General features: G+C 52.7%; 1 protein-coding gene across 4 annotated transcripts in view, besides 1 other annotated feature; it reads left to right on the top strand.

Moving 5' to 3' along the window:
- The window catches only part of AKT2 (AKT serine/threonine kinase 2), a 55,029-nt gene that overhangs the window by 36,820 nt on the left and 8,712 nt on the right, over positions 1 to 9,497 (top strand). For all 4 annotated transcript variants that reach the window (NM_001243028.3, NM_001243027.3, NM_001626.6 and 1 more), the window contains 3 exons: positions 5,839 to 5,992; positions 6,457 to 6,588; positions 8,416 to 8,481. In NM_001243028.3, the coding sequence (NP_001229957.1) occupies positions 5,839 to 5,992; positions 6,457 to 6,588; positions 8,416 to 8,481 (352 nt within the window). The remainder of the gene's footprint in view (positions 1 to 5,838; positions 5,993 to 6,456; positions 6,589 to 8,415; positions 8,482 to 9,497) is intronic.
- Positions 5,945 to 6,446: an enhancer, noted in NCBI's record as "H3K4me1 hESC enhancer chr19:40747987-40748488 (GRCh37/hg19 assembly coordinates)". NCBI's record gives its function as "activates a minimal SCP1, AML or CMV promoter by ChIP-STARR-seq in naive H9 embryonic stem cells {active_cell/tissue: H9 hESC(naive)}" and the evidence as "EXISTENCE:reporter gene assay evidence [ECO:0000049][PMID:30033119]".

Raw genomic sequence — 9,497 nt, 5'->3', positions numbered from 1 at the left:
ATGGCCATTGTTCAGGTCCTGGTTTAAACGTCATCTCCTCAGGCCTCCCCTGACTGCCCTCTGAGAAGGAGTCTCCCTGTTTGGCCCCCGCCTTGGAGCTTCTACACACTTGTCCTCCCCTTGAGGTCAGGAGCCATGATGGGCTTGTCCCCTGCTGCATCCACAGTGCCCTGAACAAGCCTGGTGCACAGAAATGCTCCACATTTGCAGGCCGGCTGGGTGAACTCTCATGACAGCCTTCTGAGACCTCAATGTGCTGGGCACCGCTCTCAGCACTTTATGTCTAGTGTCTCATTTCACCCTGATAGGACCCTCTAGTGCCTCACCCACCGAGGCACAGGAAGGGCATACAACCTGCCCAGTGTTGCCTGCAGGAAGGGGCAGAGCTGGGATCCACGTCCAGGCCATCCCCCAGAGCCTGTCCTCTCACCCACTGTGAGGTCCCCAGCTGGTACGGAAGGCAGGCAGCGCATTGGGTGGCAATGACCCCACAGCTCCTGGCCCAGAGCCTGTGCTTGCCCCGTACTGTGCCCTTCCCAGTGTTGGTATGGCGAACGTGGCTCCCCCATGTCCCTCCCCTGGCCCTGAGCCCAAATGAGGATGAGAAGGTTCCAGAAAATACCGATGGGGGAAGTGCTCTTGGAGGTAGAAGTGCCTGGGCACTTCTTGTGTCCCTGGCCTCTGTCGGTGGGCAGATGAGCCTCTCTGTGCTTCGGTCTTGTCATTTTAGCATGAAGTGAATGGCAGTACCTACTACACAGGGTTGCTGGGAGGGCGACAGGAGTCCTCCACCATAACGCACAGTGGTACCAGCCTCTGCAAGTGGAAGGTGTTCTTGGGACTGCTGTTGAGTGGCAGGGGTGGGGGCCCCTCTCTGAAAAGCGGGTGCAGATCATGGCTTACGAGGAGAGTTCTTCCTTTGCTTTTCCCGTGGGCTCCCTGGCTGGGTGTCCCATGAGCCTTCCCTAGAGAGGGTCCCTGCTTTACCCTCCTGAGTCTCGTGTAGCTTTCAGCGCTTCACTGAGGCTCAGGGACAGGCGGGTGGTGCTAAGGAGGAGTAGGCTGTGCACAGGTGAGTGCCAGCTCTGCCACATCCCTGCTGTGTGACCTTCACAGGTGACTCCACCTCCATGTGCCTCAGTCCCCACAGCAGAAATGCTGGCTCTTGAGAATTGCAGTGCTCTTGAGAATCAAGCGAGGTGGTGTCTGGAGCTAGCCACTCAGTGCTGTTATTTTTACAGTCGTGGTTTACCCAGGGGCTCTCCTCTGGGGGCTAGAAGATACTTGAGGCCCAGCTTCATGGGGAGCTCCCCTTTGCCCCAGACGCCATGTTGCAAACCCTTGAGAAGGATCCTGGACAGAGGCCCTTGCTTTTCATCTGGAATTCTGAGTGCTGCAACCTTGCAACTTTGGTCCAGTTAGAATTGGATCGGAAGCTAGTCAGGCAGCAGGCGAGCCCCAGTTACTCCCAGATAACCTCCTGCATTGCTGTGGTTTCTGGAGCTTTCTGTAGGGTGGGCAGTGGGAGCCAGGGTAGGTGGGGTAGGCCCGCCCCTGCGAGTGTCTTCGGCACCCTCCCTTCCACCCCGCCCTGCGCGCGGTGCTCTGCGCCGACAGCCCGCCAACCTCTTAGCCCCAGGCCCAGGCCCTGGTGGAGGGGAGAGCTGGGAGGGCTGAGCTGGTCCAGGTGGCAGAGCCACTCTTGGAGCCCCAGCTGGGGTGGGTCCAGGGCCTGTGCTCCTGATTCCCATCTGGAGTAGCCTCCCAGAGCTGCTTCTGGGCTGGTGGTGTGGCAGTGCCATCCTTCATGTATTTGGGTTCTCTCCACAGAGGGACCATCTGTGTTCTCTCCACCCCTGTCTTTGAAAACAAAGATGATACCACGCTGTACATCTTAGTCTGCAATCTGCCATCTTCACGTGACAGTCTCTCAAGATCTTTATATATGAGAGACATATTTTCCTTTTTAATATCTTCACTGTATCTCTTAGGAGATCTGTGATTTTTTTTTTCCCAATCCGCCATCATTTACTCAGAGTCAGCATTAAAAAAATTTAAAATTTGTGAGAGGACAACTATGTCTGATAAAGCATGTCATGGAAGGCTGGGCACAGCAGCTCACACCTGTAATCCCAGCACTTGGGGAGACCGAGGCAGGCAGATCATGAGGTCAAGAGATCGAGACCATCCTGGCCAACATGGTGAAACCCTGTCTCTACTAAAAATACAAAAATTATGGTGGCGGGTGCCTGTAGTTCCAGCTACTCTGGAGGCTGAGGCAGGAGAATCGCTTAAACCTGGGAGCCACTGCACTCCAGCCTGGCAGCAAAGCGAGACTCTGTCTCCAAAAACAAAAAGAAACAAAAAAGAAAAAAGCCTGTCATGGAATGGGCTCCTGCCCTGTCCCCGGCCCCTGCTTTTTTTTTTTTTTTTTTTTGAAAAACAGGAATATTAGTGTAGGGTTTGGGAATTAGGCTGTAATTTGTTCCTAAGGGGGCATGGGTTAAAGCAAGTTGAGAAATACTGGCTTGAGATGTTGGGCCAGGGAGTGCAGAAGCCAACACCGCTCTGCCCGGGTGTGCACCAGGGCTCAGTGCGTGCTCTGCCCGGGTCTGCACTGGGCCCTGCTGCGCCCTGGCCCTGGGGCCACTTGGACTTTGGCTGCCTCACTCTTTCATTACCCAAGTATCTACTGAGTATCCACCATGAGTTCTGGGGGCAGAACTGTGTTCAAAGCAGGTGGAAATCTCTGCCTCCGTGGGGTGGACATAGATGGGTTATGGGGACTCCAGTCTCTGAGTGGGTGGGGAGGGCAGCGTGCCTTTTGTAATTCCAGCTACCAAGCCTGGAGCAACTGCTGTTTTTCTGGAATCTGTTTTTTCAATCTGTGCCCCAGTTCCTCCTTCATAATGGGTGGGAGTAGGGATAGTTGATGATAGCAAGTGCTTCCCATTTGTTATTAGAGGCTGTTCCTTTCCTTCGACTCCCAGTTCCCCTCCCTTGGAGGCAGGCAGGGCTCCAGGATCATGACTTCTCTTCTGGAGATGTTTGTGCCTATGTGAGCATGTGTCTGCAGAAGTTCATTATTTTCTAACTTAGGAGCACAGAACTGTATACTGTTCTTCACCTTCCTTAATTTTGAAATTTTTTATAAAGGCGTGGTCTTCTTATGTTGTCTAGGCTGGTCTGGAATTCCTGGGCTCAAGCAGTCCTCCAGCCTCTGCCTCCTAAATTGCAGGGATTACATGAGTGAGCTACCTTGCCCATCCCTGCACCTTCCTTTTTCTCTTAAGAAGTCTCAGATCATCCCAAGTCAGCATACAGACCTGCCTCAATCTTTCCCCCAGCTGCAGAATGTCTCATTGCACAGATGCCTCACAGGCATTCTACCTCACGACAGCCTGTGTATTAAACACTGCTGTGATATTTCATCAAATCGAAGGCGCTGTCATTGGGGAGGCACCCTGTTTCATATAGTGCCAAGAAAAAGGCGTGCCCAGTTAAATCAAGACAGACCCCAACTGTGAGATTAATCTGCATTCCAGCAGTGTCAAAATGTGGAAGAGGGTGCGTTGTGGGATGGATGGAAATAGAAGTAGTTTCGCGTGGTACACCAGGAAACGAGACTGGGGAGGAATACAGCCCAGCAGGGTGTCCCGGCTTGGATTTTGAAGCCCAGTCCCAGCCACACTTGTTCCCTGCCTGACCTTGGGTAGGGGCCCCAGTGTCTCAGGAACACAGGAGCAGTGACACTTGCCCTGGGGCGGGGGCCATCCTGGAAGATGCTGTGAAGGGCTGGCTGCACTCCCTGTGGCTTATTTAAATCACTGGGATTTGCGTGATTACACTCTCTGAATTTTCTCATTCTTAGTGAACATTTTATTTTTCTTGTTGGTCATATGAGTATTTTCTAGATACAAGCAAAATACACGGGGGGTTCAAAATGCGTTGGGTTGAAACACCTAATTGCAGTGTGGTCAAAAATGGGGGATGTGGACAATTTGGTGTAATTCAGCCTAATATATTTTTCATTTTGGTCTCTGGTCATTTTCACTTATTAGACAGAACAGTTTGTAAGTATCCAAAGAAAATTATTTTGTTTTTTTTTTAGCTGATTGCAGTGGTATGATCATGGCTCACTGCAGCCTCCACCTCCTGGGCTCAAGCAGTTCTCCCACCTTAGCCCCCTGAGTAGCTGAGACCACAGGCATGTGCCCCCACACCTGGCTAATTTTTTATCTTTGGTCTCTACAAAGTGGGTATCCATGTTGCCTAGGCTGGTCTCAAACTTCCGGATGCAAGCCATCGTCCCGTCTCAGTCTCCCAAAGTGCCAGGATTGCAGGTGTGAGCCACCGAGCCCAGCTCAAAGACAGTTCTTTCTCAGCAAGTTCTAAACCATGAGTGACAGAACTAGTTTATTGTTCTTTATTTTATTATTATTATTATTATTATTATTATTATTATTATTTTATTATTATTTTGGGATGGAGTCTCGCACTGTTGTCCAGGCTGGAGTGCAGTGGCGCGATCTCGGCTCACTGCAACCTCCGCCTCCCGGGTTCAAATGATCCTCTTGCCTCAGCCTCCCGAGTAGCTGGGATTACAGGCGCCCGTCACCACGCCCGGCTAATTTTTTGTATTTTTAGTAGAGACTGGGTTTTACTATGTTGGCCAGGCTGGTCTCGAACTCCTGACCTCAAGTGATCCTCCACCTTGGCCTCCCAAAGTGCTGGGATTACAGGCGTGAGCCATCGCACCTGGCCTGTTTTTATTTTTTATTTTTGTTTTTTAAAAACTTTTTAAGAGATGGGTCTTGCTTTGTTACCTAGGCTGGTCTTGAACGCTTCGGCTCAAGCACTTGGTCCACCTTGGCCTCCCAAAATGCTGGGATTACAGGTGTGAGCCACAGTGCTTAGCCTCTAGTTAACTGTTCTTAAACCAGGCTCCCTTCTGCTGGGACCTACTTCTTGTCCACCAGCTTCTCTCCTCTACATCCCTGGGCTGCCAGGACCTCTGTCCCTGCCATGCAGACTCCCTGCTCCCAGTGGACTGTCCCCTCCAGGGAGTCCTGCGGGCCAGCTCTTGCCTTGCAGTGTCTTCAGCTCCTTTGGCTAATGAATGCTGCTTCTTACTCTTGGTTTAACTTTACAAAACATTGGTAACTTATAAACTTGAGCTTGTCATTTGTTCCGAAGAATTCACAGGAGCACTCTCTCTCCCTCATTCAAGGCTCAGGGTGGTGGCTCATTTTCAAGGGGCTGTGAAAAGAGAGGGTCACTCCTTTTTGATCATTTCCCTGCTGCCTGGCTTCAAATGGCCCTCAGGCCAGGTCACTTTAGGGAAATTGGTGATCGCTCTTGGTATTCCACTTTTTTTTTTTTTTTGAGACGGAGTCTCGCACTGTCACCAGGCTGGAGTGCAGTGGTGCGATCTCTGCTCACTGCACCCTCCGCCTCCCGGGTTCAAGCAATTCTCCTGCCTCAGCCTCCTGAGTAGCTGGGATTAGGCGAATGCCACCCCTGACTAATTTTTGTATTTTTAGTAGAGACGGGGTTTCACCATGTTGGCCAGGCTGGTCTCGAACTCCTGACCTTGTGATCCATCCGCCTCAGCCTCCCAAAGTGCTGGGATTATAGGCATGAGCCACTGCGCCTGGCGTGGAATTTCACTCAGGTCCCTTCAGCTCTCTCTGGTTCTGACAGATCTTGCCCAAATTCCCATGGTTATGTGGTCATTTGCTTGCCTGTTGCTGGGGGTGGCTGGGAGGTGGCACTCAGCTGTTCGACTCTGAGGCCCAGGACTCCTGGCTGCTGGGACTCACGTGTGTCCCTGCACAGGGAGGAGTGGATGCGGGCCATCCAGATGGTCGCCAACAGCCTCAAGCAGCGGGCCCCAGGCGAGGACCCCATGGACTACAAGTGTGGCTCCCCCAGTGACTCCTCCACGACTGAGGAGATGGAAGTGGCGGTCAGCAAGGCACGGGCTAAAGTGGTAAGTGCTGGGAGCAGGGGTGGGGCTGCCAGCCTGCGGTGCCCCCACCCCCAGTGCTGGCCTGCTCTCCTTGGTTTCCATAACACAGTTCAGGGGGCTCAGCTGAGAGACAAGGCTGCCCTGCAGGGTGGGGTGATTTCAGGTGGCAGGTGCCCTAGGGTGTGCTCCATGCCCGTAGGGGAGGGAGCAACCTTGGGTGGACCCACTGCAGGTTCGTCCTGGGAGTTGGTGAAGACCTGGCTACCCCCACGTCAGAGCCCAGCCCTCCCAAGGCCCTGTGCCTGCAGAGCCTGGTCTGAAGGCCGCTTCAGAACACACAGTTGCTGCCCAGAGCCTCCCTTCCTGCTCCAGCCTAAGCCGTTTGGCAACAGTGTCTTTTGGTTTTCCTCTTTCTTTTGTTAAAATTTCCTCCCACGGGCCATGAGCCAGGCGCTGACTGCCCCCACTCTCCCTGTCCCTGGCAGACCATGAATGACTTCGACTATCTCAAACTCCTTGGCAAGGGAACCTTTGGCAAAGTCATCCTGGTGCGGGAGAAGGCCACTGGCCGCTACTACGCCATGAAGATCCTGCGGAAGGAAGTCATCATTGCCAAGGTGCGTGCCCCGGGAATTGCGCTCGCGAGCCTCTGTGGGGGCTGCGGTCTGGAGCCTGACCCTGAGGCCTGGACGCTTACCCGCGCTTTCTGCTGCTGTGGGCTTATTTCCCCCACAAATTCCCCCTAGTCAGAAAAGGGGGAGCCTGAGGCCCAGAGAGGAGCAGCAGGCCTTGCTGCTGAGTCCCCACCTCCACCCTATGTTAGGGGCTGGGGGTGCCTGTGGAGAGAGAGAGCCTCGGGGCCCCACCCAGCAGGTACTGTCAAGGGAGGCTGGGGCCTGTTGGGGAGGACGTCGCTGTTGGGGAGTCCCGGGCTTTGCTCAGGGTATCCCAGGTGGAGGCCGGGCCAGGAGTGGAATTCTACTTTTTCCCTTATTTGAATTTTTTGTAGTGGAAGATTCCAAAGACATTCAAAAATTTAAAAAGAAAATAAATATTACGGACCCCCATGTAGCCATTGTCCAGTTTAACCAGTTATCAGCGTTTAGCCAGCCTTGTTTCCTTAGCTCTGCCTGTCCCTCTTGTTCTGGAATACTTTAAGGCCTGTCCTAGACAACACGTCACTTCACTCATCCATACTTGAACATGTGTCCTGACAGATGAAGACTGTAAAGAATATAATCATGTGGTGCTGCCATCAGAGCCAACCAAATTAGCTGTTCATTCCTGATGTGACGATTGGGCCTAAGGCAGCCTTCCTCAGCCTCAGCACTGTTAACGTTTTGGGACAGATGATTCTGCGCTGTCGGGGCAGCCCTGTGCATTCTAGGGTTTCAGCAGCACCCCTGGCTTCTACCCACTGAAGCCAATACTAGCTCCCCAAGTTGTGACAATCAAAAATGACTTTTGGGTTGGGCGCCACAGCTCACGCCTGTAATTCCAGCACTTTAGAAGGCTGAGGTGGGAGGATCGCTTGAGCCCAGGAGTTCGAGACCAGCCTGGGCAACAAAGCAAGACCCTGTCTCTGTAAAAATAAAAATAAATTAGCTGGGCATAGTGGCGTGCACCTGTAGTCCCAGCTGCTCAGGAGGCTGAAGTGGGAGGATCAGTGGAGCCTCAGAGGTTGAGGCTGTAGTGACCCATGTTCACACCACTGCACTCCAGCCTGGGCGACAGAGCCAGACCCCCAGCTAAAAAAAAAAAGGGAAAAAAAAAAAAAAGACTTCAGACATTCTCAGGTGTCCCCTGGGGATAAACTTGCCCCAGAGAGAGCCTGTGTTCACGTTGCTGCAGGTGGCTCCAGATTTTTGGAACCACTCCTGGTGGTTCTGCTGTACAGTCAGGTACCAAATTAGAACCTGAATTAGAGTCACCCAAAGGGCTTGTGAGACAGTGCTGGGCCCACCCCGAGTTTCTGACTCAGTGGGCCTGGGGGTAGGTCCCAGGAATTTGCATTGCTGCCAGTTCCCAGGCGGTGCTGAGGTGCTGTGTGGGGACCACACCAAGAAGCACTGTTTTTCCTTCTTTGGGCAAGAATGCTTTCTAGGTGGGACTTCCCACAGCCTGTGGTGGCACCTCGGGGCTCTCGTGATGTCTGTTTGTCTCCCTTGCAGGGACGTCACAGGTGTCTTGTCCCTAGCAGCCTGGTCCTTACATTGTGACATTCCTGCTGACTTTTCACCTGTGGCTTTGAGAGCCACTGATGATCCTCGTCTGGGTCTGCTATTTGCTGAGGGTTTGCAGGCTTTCACTTTTCACTCCTGTGATTTTCTGCATTTATGGCTGGGAATGGAATTGCATTTCACAAGGCCTTGCTCCCCTTCGTCGGGGCGGAGTGGGCAGGTGTGGTGTTGCCCACCAGCCCCTCACCCGCAGTCTGTCTGCAGGATGAAGTCGCTCACACAGTCACCGAGAGCCGGGTCCTCCAGAACACCAGGCACCCGTTCCTCACTGTGAGTTGCCCTCCCCTTCCCAGACAGTGTGAGGCCAGCCTTTGGACAGAGCTCAGAGAGAGAGCCCTAATCTTCTGGTACAAAGCACAGTCTTGGGGTAGGCCAGGCGGGCAGGGCAAGGTGTTGCTGCGCCCTGCCAAGTCATCCGAACCAAGACATGTGGTGGGGGTGAGCAGGCTCGGGGAGTGGGAGGGTGACAGCTTCTTCATAGATGGTGGCTTCATGTAAGCATTTGAACTAACTGAAGATATCACATTATTTGCTGGCTGCTGTCTCTATGAGTTAGGAGCACTTAGCCCAGCTGGTTGAAGTGGAAACATTATTTTTTTTGTTTTTGTTTTCAGATATGCTCATAGAAGCAGATGTGTTAGCATTGTGTTGTCTGTCAGCCTGGACTGAGTAGATGCCTGTTTGGGCTGCAGTCTCCATCAAGGCCAGTGGCCACCAGTTAAATGGACTAGATTGAGGATGGCTTATGTATCATTTCTTTATCTCAGTTGCTGTCCAGGTATCCTATTAAGCCACAGTACTTTTTCAAATAAAATCTTATGAGGTACCTCAGTGCAGAAAACAGAATAGTTGAGTTGTCATGAGCTGAAGGACCCCCTGGTGGGAGTCTCTGAGGAACTCTCTGTAGATCTCCTTAGTGCAGTGGAGAACTACTGTTTGTTGACTGACAGCCTGTCCATCCTGTCATTGAAGTTGGCTCCCAAGCCTTTGCCACTCCCAGCCACAGCAGACATCACTTGTGTGTGTAAGTTGAACACATTTTACTGTAAAAACAAGAGCCATGGTTGCTCAGAACAGCTCTAGTTCTCCCTTGGCTGTGCCTGATGGAGGCAGAGGACAAGATGGTTCAGCATGTAACCCTTTCCTACCGCAGAGCCATGCCTTCACTTAATGCCCCAAAAGGTGCAGCCGGTATGTGAACCCCATATGGCTGACTCCTGGGGGCCCCAGCCAGGGCAGGGTGTGTGTGTGCAGAATAAGCAGGGCCAGGGCCCTGCCCTGGCATG

Source organism: Homo sapiens, chromosome 19 (genome assembly GCF_000001405.40).
Source record: "Homo sapiens chromosome 19, GRCh38.p14 Primary Assembly".
Taxonomy (NCBI): domain Eukaryota; kingdom Metazoa; phylum Chordata; class Mammalia; order Primates; family Hominidae; genus Homo; species Homo sapiens.
Note: the sequence above shows the minus strand (reverse complement) of the source record. Positions and strands in the feature narration are given on the sequence as shown.